This window comes from Homo sapiens, chromosome 3 (genome assembly GCF_000001405.40).
Source record: "Homo sapiens chromosome 3, GRCh38.p14 Primary Assembly".
NCBI classification, from domain to species: Eukaryota; Metazoa; Chordata; class Mammalia; order Primates; family Hominidae; genus Homo; species Homo sapiens.
In genome coordinates, this window is record NC_000003.12 from 194,999,059 (window position 1) to 195,014,087 (window position 15,029).

At 49.6% G+C, this 15,029-nt stretch overlaps 1 long non-coding RNA gene across 1 annotated transcript; it reads right to left on the reverse strand.

Annotated features, from left to right (window-relative positions):
• Window positions 1–6,654: 6,654 nt before the first annotated feature.
• On the reverse strand, window positions 6,655–7,697 carry LOC105374295 (uncharacterized). Its single transcript, XR_007096224.1, has 2 exons — window positions 7,612–7,697; window positions 6,655–6,865 (listed from the first exon to the last, which is right to left on the reverse strand). It is a non-coding gene; the product is annotated as an uncharacterized LOC105374295 (long non-coding RNA).
• Window positions 7,698–15,029: the final 7,332 nt, after the last annotated feature.

Here is a 15,029-nt window from a genome sequence, read left to right on the forward strand (position 1 = left end):
ACTACAGCCATCCTGAGCCCATCTGCCTGGGAATCATCCCTGCCCAAGAGTTAATGACAGGGGGTGAGTGCTCTTCCCAGCCCAGCCCCAGCCCCAGAGGACATGGGACCTCATTCAAGAGATTCAGTTTCCCAGCCCCGACCCAGCCCCAGGGGACACGGGGCCTGATTCAAGAGATCAAGTACAGTAGATGCTTAACAAGGTTGAGAGACTAACTCATTCAATCATTTATTCATTCAACCAAAAACTATTCATTGAACAACATTGGTGTGCCAGGCACTGAGCTCAGCAGATTGGTGAGTGGTGACCATTATTTGTGGGCCCTCCTGGACCTCACAGTTCCTTGGAAGAGACAGACATTAAATGTGCAATTCCACAAATTAATGTAAAGTTGCAACCATCACAACAGCCAAGAGACGGAGGTGGATAGAATGGTGAGAACTGGTCAGGGAGGTGAGGATGGATTCCCGAGGAGGTAAGGATTCAGCTGAGACCCGGAGGAGGCAGAGGCGTGCTTTCCAGCACCGCCCAGAATCCCCACATTCCCCAAACCCTCCCAGCCCTCTATGCACAGCTCTGAGTATGGAGGAAGAGCTGAGCGCAGCAAGGCTGCCCAGAGCTGGAACCCCAGACACGAGCCTAGGCCCACTCACCCACCAAGGGGCTGGGCTGGACACACTTACCCCAGAGCCCCAGAAGACCCCCACCAAAGGCTGGCTGTGAGCTAGCTCATTCAGCAGAGCCCATGTCATGTTTTTAAAAAGAGTGCTGTGGGGAAAAAAGAGAAAAAAATCACTGACTGTCCCCTCCACCCAACTACTTCTTCACTAGACATCTCATCCCTGGTGAATTTCTGATAATGCCGCTGGGTGTTTACAGTTTCCAAATGAGGCAGAGGGGCTGGTTCACTGCTGCCTGGGAGTCAACACAGGAGAAAAGCTGTCATCCCCATCTCTCTCGCAATCTCTCTCTCAAGGTTTATTATAAAATACCTGTCCCCCGCCCTTCCTCTGGATGGTAAAATAGAGCATCCTCTGCATTGAGTTTTAATCACCACTGACAACCAGCTCACTTCAAGGTCTAGAGTACACATCAGAACGATCTTACATAAAACAGGATGTTTTTTCAATGTCCGGGTCCTGCCCACTGCAGTGCAGAAGATGGTGCCTTCCCCCGGCTTTGGCTAGAGAGCATAGGGGTATGTTAACCTGGCTGGTGATGCAAGGAGAATCCCTTAGAGGAAGCTAGAGTGACAGGATGGGTTGATTATTTCAAACAGAGATGGTTTCATGAGACTGCATGCAAGAGTTAGAAAAGTCTTCTAGATTTTTTGGTTTGGAGGCACACCAGAAAGGAAAGGTGAGATCAGGGTACCCAGGTGGAAATCCAGGCTCTCCCCAAAACCCCAGGCTCACTGAGGCAGCCTGACACGCTACTCCTCTCAAAGTCTTAATTGCATTGTCTGTAATTTAAGGAGTTAGACTAGATTCTCTCTAAAATTTCTTCCAGTTTAATGCCCATGAGTCCTGATTAATTTTGATTTTGTTATGCCCCACTTCATATGATTCTTGGTGGCTCACAAAAATAAATTTGGCATAGGATTGTAAAGACTTATGCAAAGAAATTGGATGGGAAAGAAGAGTAAAGTGAGGACACTAAAATAAAATTAGCCTCTAAGCTGCATGGTAAGGTCCTATGCACTTTGTTAAAGGTGAGCCATATTTTTGCTTCTGAGCTTCCTACCAGCCAATGCAGAGAGGAAAATGTGATCAGTTTTGAGACCAAGATAATGGTAAGAAAAGACCAGTTTTCAGGAAAGCATCAACTCTTCTTGGTTCTAGGGCCTGAGGCATTTCTCACTTAGGTCTTTAAAGTGAAGGAATGCTGGCATGTTAGAGCACATTCTCAACAGAATCTTTTCAGGGAACACATTAACCTCTTTATAAGGCCCCTCAACGTGGCCAGTGACATAACTGCAAAAGCAGTGTGGTGAAATCAGTTTGACCTGGACCAAAAAGCTGCGATATAGATCTGGAGTTCTCTGGTGGTCTTTGTAAGCCGAGGGGAATAGCAGAGTAGCTAGGACAGTATTTCTCAAACCGAGGGGCTAAGGGCTCCTGGGGTTCCCCAGACATATTCTTGAGCCAGACAGTGCTGATTCGGAGCAGTTATCCTCAATCACGTTCATGTACATTTCAATAGAGGCAGAGGAAAAGAAACGGATCTGCCAAACGGCCACCTGGGCCAGTGGGCCATCTCCATCACAGTGCGAATTTAGTGTTAGTCAATATAAAGGGGCATGAGTGTGATGTGGGCATGCTCCTGCCACCTAACCCTGCGCCTCCATGCTGCCACAATCCCTGCTACTCAGTGACAACCGCAGACTCAAGACTAGCCGGCCTTGGTCTGTGTAAAGCTGCCTTTCTTAGCTCCCAATTGCCCCACAGAGTAAGGCTGAAATTCCTCTACAGGCTGTTCAGGTCTCTGTGTGATCCACACCACCTTCTCCTCTGGCTTCAACAGGGATGCTTCTCTATCCTCCCCCTCCCTCCCAATGTCAAGCCCTGACCCCTGAGTCAAACCATTGATTTGCCTTTGTGCAGACATCTTCCAACCTCTGAGTTCCCTTTGCCTCTCTCCCCTCCCAAGTTTCTCTTTTGACTTCCTCCCATCCTCCAAGGTCCAACCCAAAGACCACCAAAGTTAAGCCTTCCCCATTTTTCCAGCAGATGAAATCTCCCTCCCTCCCAGAGCACTTGGCCAATGTCACATCCATTGACACAACTCTTATTTCTGCTGGGCATGGCTGACTCAGTGAACATGCAGGATGAAGTACAGAGAAGCCTTCAGCCCACAAGAAGAATTTGGTTTCTTGGGCTTAGACCTGTCTTCTCGGCTTGACTGGGGGCTTCTTGAGGGCAAGAGCCCCAGCTCACAAGTCCCAGCCCTCCTGCCACATTCCCACAAGTTTTGCTAATGTCTGCAGAATTCACTTGCAGTAAGGAGGGGTGTGGTGTGGCTGCATCAGGGGAGAGGATGCCTCAGACAGCCAGCAGGTGGTGGGCTTGCTGGCTGGGCGAGCTGGGGCAGGACTTCTAATCCCTTTGTCACAGCTGGGCTGGCCTGGACAGTGGCCAAGGGCAGGAGGGGGAGGGAGGTTGCCTCCCCGTAGGTGAACACCTGACACACTGTGTGCTTATTGGCATTTCTTGCTGCACCTGTTTATTTAACCAAAGCATTCTGATCACAATGCCCATTAAACCTTGTTGACATATTTGAAATTCTGCATTCATGCAACTCAAGCGTCAGCCTTCCATCTGCCAGCTGTATCCTATATTAATTAAAACAGTGGATGAGGTAAACCCAGTTAATCCTCTGGGGGAGAGGTGGGGTTTGTTTTTCAAAGGGATACAGTTTCAGCTTACAGGGTGCATTGGTTTGCTTTTCAGAGTTCCAAATGGGCATTTGTTGTGCACACACTGTGCCCAGAACCTTCTGCTAAATACAGCCTTGCCCCTGATCACTCCTGAGTACTGAGGAATGAATGTGGGTAGGTGCAGTTGTGCATGTGTACATGCGTGAGCTATACACGTGAGCGTTTTGTGTGAGCCCTTGTGTTCATGTGGGTGTGAGTACCACATCTGCATCTGATCAACACCCAGTGACATGCCACCCTCCACGAATGCACTCGGCACACCAAGTTCCATTTGTTCTTTGTTATCCTTAAAGCACCAGGGAAGCTGTACTGCTCACATCAATCACTTGAGATTAAAAAAGAGACAGACTTTGTGTTTACTCCGAGCTCCCTGTGATGATCATTACTAAGACTTGTAATTTCCCTCCATGAGAATCTGGCAGGCTGGGAATACTTTCTTTTGATGGTTGGCAGCTAGCTCTTCATGGAAGAGCTTAGTTAATTCCTCCCAGGCAAGTTATGTGTCTCACTCTGAATGACAGTCTGGGACCACGGAAGGCAGGACCCCTGTGCACGACTCCGTGGGAGAGGTTTCACATGGGAGAGGAAATACAAGGGGAAGGAGCCTCCTGGGACTGTGCAGCACGGGGTCCCCAGTGGGAGGAGCGAGGCCTGGCAGTTGGGAGTCTGGGGTTGGGTCTGGCCGCAGGCCCACCATGTAATCTTGCAAAATTACCTCGTCTTGGGCTCTGCTTCCTCATTTGCAAAATGAAGAGATCGGATTGCATCATTTCTTAGGTCCCTTGTGTCTACAGGCTCTAGGAGTGTGCCAAGAAATGGAGTTGATCTGCTGGTTTTGGTGGGAACCACAGCCTCCTAAAAATGTTAGAGCCGGAGGGAACCTCAGCTCAACTTCTGTGCCTAACCTCCTCATTTCCCAGAAGCAAGTGACTTGTTCAAAGCAAGTCAACGCAGAAGAAATAGAGTATGCATTCTGGGATGGAAACAGAGCCAGCCCAGGTCCCTTGGTGAGGTTTTGAATGCATTTCATTTCCAAAAGGCAACCGAGATCACTTCCCCTCCACTTAGGTCAGGACTTGGCTCAGGCCTCACTCAGCTCCTTCCCAAACCCCTATTCCCTATCTGAGCTCCCCTCGTCCCAGCACCAGGCATTCATTTGTGTGGTAGCAGCTGGAATACTCAGGGCTCCTGGTACACATAGAGTGGTCCCCAGCCCCCGCAGCAGCACCCAGCAGCTTGTTGGAATGGCAGGACATTGGGCCCCACCCCAGAGCTTTCAATCAGATCCCCAGGTGGTCCTTCAGCTTGAGAGCTGCTGTTGCAGGACCACCTGGTCTCTCCTACTCTGTTCCACTCCCCTTCTCCCCAGCTAGACTGTGAGCTTTTTAAGGGTAGGTCACGCAGCTCATTCCTGTGTGCATCCCAGGGTTTGGAATGGTCCCTGGCGCAAAATAGGTGCTCATCAGGTATTGGATGAATACATGAGTGACATGAACCTGTGCAGGCTTCTTGAAGGCTGTGAACATAGCACCAAATCTGGAAGGGAAGACCGAGTGTTGATGGAGAGATAAAAGTGACGGTCTGCAGATAGCCTTCTCCCTGCCCTCGCTAGAGGCAGGGGGTCAGGACTAGCCTGGTTGGAAGGGATGACTGTGACACGAAAAAGCATGAGAGGAGGTAGAAGAGGAGGGAAGGGGAGGATATCAGGGAGTTGAATGATGCCACGATCAGAGTGTTTGGGACAGACCTGTGTACCCCGTTCATGTCCACCTCCCCTAATCTTACTTTCCTAAAGCAAACGTTCCCTATTTTCAGATGATTCTGAGCAAAGGCGAGGAGCATGATTGTTCAAAATGAGAATCTGAGTTCAGATCCCAGTCCCATTGTGTACATGCTGTGTGATCTCGGGCAAGTGACTGACCCTCTCCCCGTGTCCGTTTCCTCATTTCTAAACTGAGGATCACAAAAGAACCTTCGAAGGGTGCCCTGAGGATTAAATGAGATCGTATAATGCATTGCTACAGGGCCTGGCACAAGGAAAGGGTTCAATGGATGTGAAATGATCATAAGTGAAAGAATAAAATCTGATCACTAGCTGGCTGGAGACTGTCCAGTCTGGGAGTCTGGCACCCAGCTCAGTTTGCAGGTCCTAAACCTGGGCTCCCACACCCAACGCTTTGGTTTTTCCTCCCATTGGCCCTCTAGGCCTACTCAGAAACTCTTGTCTCCCTGAGCCCCTCAGATTCATATGTCTCAGGACGGTTGGGTGGGGGGATTCTCTCTTGTCTCCAGAACACTGGCATGGCTTGCCCAAGCCATAGAACCCAGTTAACCGCTCCCAGGCCCTCCCACCCAAATGCCATTGTCTTCATGTTGGCAGCTGACAGAGGTGCAGCGAATGTTTACATCCCTAAATTAGAGAAAGCCTGATAGCACCAGTCTGGGGTCTCCTGGCGGCCTCCTTGTACTGTTTAGCTGCGTCCAGGATTCTGCAGTCGGGCCACCCACCCACAGTGCAGGTGGAATACATTGTAGCCTATGTGAGTGATGCCTCCCTGGAATTGTGCAGTACACAAGCCAAGCAGATGTATGCAGGGCTCTTGTCCCCAGGCCCCACAGCCATTCGTGTCATGCTCCTTGTGAATAAGGTAAGGGCTTTAGGAACAGCTTTGCAGGTAGTGGGCACGGGCAGTTTAAAGTAGTCACAGGTCTGCTCTTTAGAAACAGTCCCTGCCATTTAAAATTCTTGAAAAAAGAATCTCAATCTCCATTCCAGCCATCTAGGAGAGGGAAGAGCTGGGGAAAGGACACAGGAGGAGAAGCTCTAAACTATGCCCTCAGTTTGTCCCTTTCTGGGGGCCCTGCCGTCTGGGCATCAGACTGCGGGCGGGTCTACCATCAGCCAAGCGCAGGGGATGCATTCTCCGAGACGGTTCCCAGGTGGTGCTGTGAGGGCAGGTGCAGAGAAGTGAGCCCAGCACTGAAGGCATCTGCCAGCATTCATTCCAAATAACCAGACAATGTGCCCTGAGCCCCGCCAGCATTTGTGGTCTCCAAGAAAATGTTCCCTTTCCCTCCCACTCTCCCTGTCTCAAGAGGAAATTTTCCCATCTGAATGTGTGTGACAGATGAGAAGTCGAAGCTCGTTTATCCTTAATAATGTTACTGAAAAATACCAGTAATTACATAAGGACTGCAGAAAATCACATTTAGGTAAATGAGGGGAGGGATGGTTTTTATTACGTTTCCTCAATGGATATGTAATTGTCAGCTGTAAAGGCACCTTCCTGGCTCACAAAATGACACCAAAAGTCCTTGTGAGAAGACTGGGCATTTGTGCTCACTTGGCGCTGGTTGGGCAGCTGGAGATATTTGGGGTGAGTTACCCTCCTTGGTCCTCCCAAATTACACTGCTCCATCCTGAGTCAGCTGGAAGGAGAAGTGGGACAGGGGAGAGTTTAAGTATGCGGAACACTTCTGTGTGTCAGAACACAACGCCCACCCACCCCATCTCAGAGGAAGCCTACCATCCTTCCAGCCCACTGCCAATGCTGCCTCCTCCAGGGGGCCTTCCTGCCAGCCCGGGCTGCGTCCTGGTCCATCTTTCCCAGGAGGAAGAGGGACCCTAATGTGGAAGAATCTGCTGTGTTCTCCTCTTCCTCCTGGGGTGGACAGCGAGACTACACTTTCCAGCCTCCCCTCGTAATAAGGTGTGGCCGGCTGACTAAGTTCTAGTCCACGGAATTTGGGGGGAGTGATGAGCACCACCTCCAAACCTGGCTCTACCGCTGACTGGCAGCCCCGGGCTCCCACCGCCCACCCACGCACTTCTAACAGGGAGCAGGGCGGACCCAGACCCTCGCTGCTGATCACAACACAGCGCGGTTTCTGCCAGCCCCAAGCATGGCAAGGACCAGTAGGGCTCCCAGGCAAAAGGCAGCCTCCCTATCTGGCCATATTGGGGCTGCCTCACCCTCTCTCATCTTTGAATCTGCCAGACACAACTGGAGTCCCCGAAATCCCTGGATGGAACATTCCAGCCCTGGAGTGGGGCCATGGGCTCATGTGCCGATGGGCTTGGGATCTGTGAGCTTGTCGTCCTACAGCGTGAGTCTTCCCCACTCTCCCCATCATTCTATTTTAAAGGCCAGTATCGTGTCTCCAGCTTCACTTACATGCCTGTTACCAAGAAGGACTGAAAGAAGCAAAAATACACAAAGGATGGCTTGGGCAGCTGTAAATAGTTCTGACCCACATCCAACCATCAGCCACAAATCATTTGTGAAAGGATCACAGAATCTCAGAGTCCCTTGAAAAACAAAAAAAAGAAAACTTAAAAAAGTAAAAAGGAAGTTAACTTTTACCATATCCTCATTCACCCATTTGCCTGTCTGACATTCAGCTCTGCACTGATGACAAACACTTCATTTATGAGAAATACTTAGTTCCATGGGCTTCTCCTGCATAACACTTGACTTACACAGTTCATTGAGTCTAAAGAGCTGATTCTTAAATTTATTTAGGAAGAGCAAAGTTGGAGGATGAAGACCCTCAGCTTTCAAGACTTCCTACAGATCAGGCACAGTGGCTCACACCTGCAATCCCAGCACTACAGTCTGGGCACGGTGGCTCACACCTGTAATCCCAGCACTACAGGCCAGGCATGGTGGCTCACACCTGTAATCCCAGCACTTCGGGAGGCTGAAGCGGGAGGATTGCTTGAGCCCAGGAGTTCAAGACCAGCATCAGCAGCATAAGGAGACCCTGTCTCTACAAAAATTAACCAGGTGTGTTGGCGTGTGCCTGTAGTGCTAGCTACGTGGAAGACTGAGGTGGGAGGAGTACTTGAGCCCGAGAGGCTGAGGCTGCAGTGAGCCCAGTGAACCATGATCATGCCACTGCACTCCAGCCTGGGTGACAGAGAGAGACCCTGTCCAAAAAAGAAAAGAAAAAAAAAAAAGACTTTCTGTAGCAGACAGTGAGGTATTGGTGAGAGGAGAGCCTCAGACCAACTAGGGCAGAAAAGAGACCCCAGAAACAGACACACATATATATCATATCACACATATGATATATACGGTCACTGACTTTTGAAAAACAAATCATAACACATCATTATCACAGAGTTTGAAATTATTTGTTAAACGCCTGTCTCCCCTTGTAGGCGGTGTGCCCTAACAGGAGAAACGCACATCTATCGTGTTCACAGCGAGGTCCTCAACACTTAATAAATACAATGCCTGGAACAGACTCGAAGCTCATCAGACATTTTTCAAAGGAAGGAAGGAGGAAGGCTGGGGGCAGGCAGACTTTCTTGATCCTTCAGGCATGAATGGGCTCCCTCTCCATACTCAGACTTCTGACAACCTCCACGTAGCCTATTCTTTTGTTCTTCACACATAATGTTACGTAATGCTTCATTCACTTTACAACTCTCTGTGCTTCCAAAATGTGGCCTTACCAGTTACAAAGACATGACTATCAAAAGCAAGCAGGTCTTTCCAGCCATCTGCTCGGCAGGAAGGAGGACGGCTTGATTAAGATTGCACATCCACTTCAGCTGGTGGCTTAATCAGCCCCAAACCTAAAAGAGCTTTCACAGCTCCTTCTGCTCTTCCCCAAACCCCTCCTGTGGGGTCACCTGGTGATGGTCTGGCTGGGCTCAGCTTGTGGACTAGGATATCACAGGTAAGAAGAGGTGGTCTCTTTCCACCGTCCTTGCAGAGAAAGTGCTGGTGTGTGTGGAAAGTTGGAGAAATGGGTTCCTGAAATTGATTTCCACTAAGACATTTTTAGCTGACAAGAACATGAAAATCTGCTTCTTAGAAACAGAAGCTTTTCTTATTGAATTAGAACATGAGATAATTTGTTCACTTTTCATTTTGGTTTAAAAAACACCGCATGTTCTCACTCATAGGTGGGAATTGAACAATGAGAACACTTGGACGCAGGAAGGGGAACATCACACACCGGGGCCTGTTGTGGGGTGGGGTGAGGGGGGAGGGATAGCATTAGGAGATATACCTAATGTTAAATGACAAGTATGGTATACATATGTAACAAACCTGCACGTTGTGCACATGTACCTTAAAACTTAAAGTATAATAATAAAAAAAAGTGAAACAAAAAAAAAAATCTGTGTTAACAAAAGAAGAAGCCATCCTGGTCTCAGCCCTGGGCTGTAGATTTTTCCCATTCCCAGGGAGGATGGGCACCTCCTCTCGCAGGTGGCAAGGCTACTTTTAGGAAGGCTACTATTTTCTTCTAGGGTTGAGCAGACTCTGGCTTGCCTGTTGTCTCATGATAATCAAAACACAACCCACACCTGCAGGACACATTCCAGCTTCTCCAGAAGCCTTTTCACTTGCTGCTCGTTGTGTCACCAGCGTCAGGTGGTCCTTGCCCCAAGCTGGTGCATGAGATTCTTTTCCAGGGACTTCAGGGAACCTGTGCTCCAATGCCTCAGGAGAGGAGAGAGTCTGGACAGAGCCCAAGATGAACGTCACCCTGCCAGTCCTTGTGTCTGGAGCATTTGCTCTGCTCAGGGTGGGATGCTGGCACGGAAGGGGACACAGCAGAGGACGTAGAGAAGGGCTACAGGGGCTGAAGACTGAGCTCTGTAGTAGGAGGTGGGAGGCCAGAGTACTCCTGACACCAGCTTGCTGTTCTGGTGCCAGCTCGCTATGCAGACTTAATTTCATTAACTCTCTGAGCCTCAGATGCCTCACCTGTAATGTGCAAAAAAAAAAAAAAAATTTAAGCATCTTATTTTTCTTAACGATCGTATGTAAAAGGGTTCAATAAACTTGCAAGTATACAGCAGAAGTGGACTAAATATTACAAGTAGTCTTTTCCATCAAATTCTAATAAAGAAGGCACGTGACACACTCTATCCATTTCCTATGGCTACTGTAACAAATGACTCTAAAGTAAGTGGCTTACAACAGAAATGTCCTCTCACATTTCTGGAGGTGTAGCAGGACAAGCGGCAGACAAAACCCCTCAGACACCAAGTTAAAGAAGGAAGGGCTTTGTTTGGCCGGGAGCTTCCGCAAGACTCATGTCCCCAAAAGCCAAGCTCTCCAAGTGAGCAATTCCTGTCCCTTTTAAGGGCTCACAACTCTAAGGGGGTCCACGTGAGAGGGTTATGATCGATTGAGCAAGCAGGGGGTACATGACTGGGGGCTGCATACACTGGTAATCCGAACAGAATAGAACAGGACGGGATTTTCACAATGCTTTTCCATACAATATCTGGAATCTATAGATAACATAACCAGTTAGGTCAGGGGTCAATCTTAGTAACCAGGCCGAGGGCGCGGCGCTGAGCTGTCTGCCTGTGGATTTCATTTCTGCCTTTCAGTTTTTACTTCTTCTTTCTTTAGAGGCAGAAACTGGGCATAAGACAATATGAGAGATGGTCTCCTCCCTTAGAGGGAGAGGTCTGCAGTAAAGGTGTCTGCGGGCTGTGCTCCCTCTGAAAGCTCTAGGGATAATTTTCCTTGCTGCTTCCCATTTCTGATGGCTGTAAGCATTTCTTGGCTTGTGGCTGCACAGCTGACTCTGTCTTTATGTAGCCTGTCTTCTCTTCTTTGTATCTTCTCCTCCTCTGCTTTTTATAAGGGCACTTTATGGAATTTACAGCCCACCTGGATAATCCAGCATGATCTCATTTTGAGATCATTAATTTAATTACATCTTTAAAGACTCTTTTCCAAGTAAGTTCCCACTGACAGGTTCCAGGAGTTACGAGATGCACACATCTTTTGAGGGGCCATAATGTAACCTCCTACACACATACACCCCTAAACTCACACCTAGAACCACCACCTCATAGCTGAGTTGGGCTGCTGCCCAGGTGTCATCCACAAAGCATGTTTCATAAGCATCAGATTATATATTCCTCAAAGAGGTCTCAGAGGTAGGGAATTATTATCCTGTTTGAAATAGGAGGAAACTGAGACCTAGAGGGTGAGTGTTGTACTCAAGATCACACAACATCTGGGAATTAGAGCTGAGACTTCAACCAAGGCCCATGTGGCAGGAGGCACAAAACTTGTTTCTCCCTCCAGAGCAAGGGGGATGTTTTATCTGCAAGGAGAAAGAGAGGGGACTCAGCCTGCAGCTGTAGAAATCTTCATGGAGGTGCTCCTCTTCCTCTCGCATTACCTCCGCACCTCCAAGTCTGCACTCACCTCTGCCCAGCCACCCCTGCATAGAGAAAAGGCACAGGACTGGACCTACATCAACCACCGGTCTGTTCTTCCCCGCCCTGTCTGAAGTGAGGGCTCACACAAGGCCCCCACACGGCAGGCCACAGGTAACACTCCCTCAAAGAAGGAACCGAGGAACGAATGGTTTGTGTCAATCGCACCACTGGAGGAGGGAGTCAGGCATCTTGTGCACTGACCCAGATAAAGGAGAATTTTCTACTCCACTGCCTTCTGATGGATGAACAGAGACAGAGGCCTCTCCCTGAAGACATTCAAGCTGAGTCCCCATGACAGCTTGGCAGGGATGCTGTCAGGGGCTCCTGCCCAGGTGACATGTGGGTCTTGAGGACATATGAAGGTTCTGGAAGCCGTAAGGTCTCCCACCCCGTGGAAGAGGACACCAGCCACATCCAAGGCAGTGCCTTCCTGCTCCATGCGGTGACTTGTGTGGACCTCACTGACAGACACGCACAAAAGAAACCAGGCACCTGAATACACAGTTTTTGTGTGTTAGTTCAGGTGCTCTAAGAGGTAGACACCAAGATGGGTTTAGACGTGGAAGAGACTTCTTGGGAAAATGCCTGTGAAGGAGAAAGAGCCAGAGACAGTGAGGACAGCCCTTGGCCACAAGGCAGGCATGGCCTCTAGAGGAGGGTGGGCCGGATGGGAGAGTGGGAGGAAGTGACTCAGGGTCCCAATAGGGGGTCTTGGAGCCAAAGTCACCTGTTGGGGGAGTCCTTGTCTTGCAAAAATAGGCTCATTACATGTGCTCAGGCATTGGCTGGAGGCACCCTCAGGAAGGGGCCTCAGTGAGAACTGGGGGTAACTCCTGACTGGGCCTTCCATCAGGTATGCTCCCCTTGGCAGGGAATCTGCGCAGCAGTTTCACGGCTGTTACAGGATGAGTCTATTTACAGGAAGGTCAGGGACAAGTCAACTAATAGATGACGCACTCACAAACTCAACACAGTGGTTCCCTTTGGTGAGGGGTGGTTATTGACTGGAGGAGCCTTCTATAGTGCTGGAAATGTTCTAAGTCTTGATCTGGGCGGTGGCTCCATGGGTGTACACACATGTAAAGGTTCATCAAGGTGTACACTTAGGATTTGCTCACTTTACTGGACTTATGGATATTCAATACAAATTGTAAAAGCAATGCCTTTACCAGCTCCTTTCTTTCCCCAGGCCACCTACAGTCGTATATCTGAGAACATTCCTTCAATCGGTAGAAGGGCTTTTTGGAGGTGCTAAATATAATTTTAGGGACTTTAATTCAGTGTAGAGTCAGGCAGAAGGGGACCAGAAGTGAGAAAGTACAGCTTTGTGGCTCACTCTCAGATGAGCTGAGGCCCTTTGGGCAGCTGAGGGGAGAGAGAAGGTGTGGGGGGCCGGAAGGGTGCCCAGCAGGTTGAAGCAGGGAAATGCTGGGTGACAGTGACTCACAGGGTGGCCAAGGACAGGAGGGAGAAACAACATCCTGGGACAGTCTGCAGTAGGTGGCCCAGCCCAGCTGCCTGCTCCCTGCCCCCAGGTCCCAGAACCAGCCCTTCTGGATGGGTGCCTCTGTCTCCACCCTGGGGCACAGCAGGCAGCTGCTGGCCGTGGCCACCGGCACTTCCTCTGGACTCCTCACCGTCCTGATGCTTGGCTGGTTCTCCTAGATCACTATTTCTGTTCCAGAGGACGGGAAACACTATGAGGCCTCCATCTGGCCATAAGGAGCCCTGGCATGAGCCTCTCCCCATCAGCTTAGGAGAGTAAACAAGGGCATTGGTGCAGGGTACCACACAAGAGCCAGACTCCCCACAGCACAGAGAATGACCTGGGGAAGGTGAATCACCTGCTTCACAGGCTGAACAAAACAGTCTCCTCTCTACATGCAAGGGGATCTAGTGGCATTCTCAAATGGCCATCCCAGAGGGTCCCCAGCCCCTACACTCGTGATTGTCAGTCCTTTATTTAGCAAACACTCACCGAGGCCCTGCTATGTGCAACAACACAGGATGGAGCCAACACAGGCCCTACTGCAGAGCTCAGACATTCAGCACGCACCCTCACACCCGGACTTACTTGGGGCAACATGAAGGTGCATAAGGCAATCTGTCTCCCCCCTCAAGCAGCTTGCAGTCTGGGCAGGACCAGACACTTGCCTTTAACACAAGGTGGGCAGTGGGAGAGGATGGAGGAGGGGGCAGCTGAAGTCTGGTGGAGTTCTGAGGAGGGAGAGATGGAGCCAAGGAAGAGCTTCAGGCTCAAAGGGGATCAGGGCAGAATTGGGCAGCCAGAAAAGTGAGACTGACCTCAGTGTTCTTGGAGATACTGTTTTGGGGAAAGGCTGAACAATTCAGTCCTGTCTTCTCATCAATTACATTGTTTTCAATTACATTGTTTTCAATTACATTTCAGAGATGTTCATCTTCCCTCCACCCCACACGGTTTCATACGTGGCATCCCAGGCAGTCCCCGGGGCTGGCTGCCCCAGCTCTATCATCCAGGCCCCTTCCCAGCCCATGCAGTGCCTCAGGACAGCCATAGGAGGGGAGAGGTATCTGTCTTCCCCAGCCGGTGGTCAACCAAATCTAAGCACATGGTCATGCCAGCCACCTCTCATGTCACCAAAACTCAGGGGCTTGAGGGTTTATACATCAAAGCTCCTACATCCATGCCTTGATTCTCTCCTCAACACTGAGAATCTCAGTTCTTCACAGATGTACGCAGTGAAGAATTCCACAGGCCCAGGCCAGGGACAATTTAGCCGACCCTTTGATAATGACCATGGATTTTATTTTTCCTCCTGTCACTGTAAGATAGATATCTGAAAACAGTGCTACATACCACTCACCATTTTGGGGGGCCGGTGAGCATGAGTGGTGACCTGCAGGGTTGCCTTACAAAAACCCATGACATCACCTGGCACCCTGTCTCTGTCCTCCCTGGACGTTTGCGGCCTCTCTCAGCTCTCGCACCCAGCCATAGCAGGCTAAAGCGTCTGACAGCTTTGCATCTGCAATATCGAGATCCAGCAGCTTTCCACAATGGCTGGCTGCAGCATTTACAGTGACTCAGATCATTTTCAGAGTTTTCAAGTGTATTCTCTCAGATCAACCAAAATCTGTGATAGGAAATGATGCAGCATCAGATTGGTCCCGTGTTTTATACCAGATGTTTAAACAAGCAAAGAAGAAAGTATGCTTAAGAAAATACATGGAAAACACACAATCGCAGAGTTTGCCTTGCCAAATGGAGCCTCCTAAAGCCTCAGCATCTTTAGGAGGGGGGGATGTTTTCTGAGAAACAGCTAATTCTCCAAGAGGCAAGAGCCCGGGATTAAGATAGGATCTCGGGCAGGAAATGAATGGGGCATTTCATAAATGTGCTTT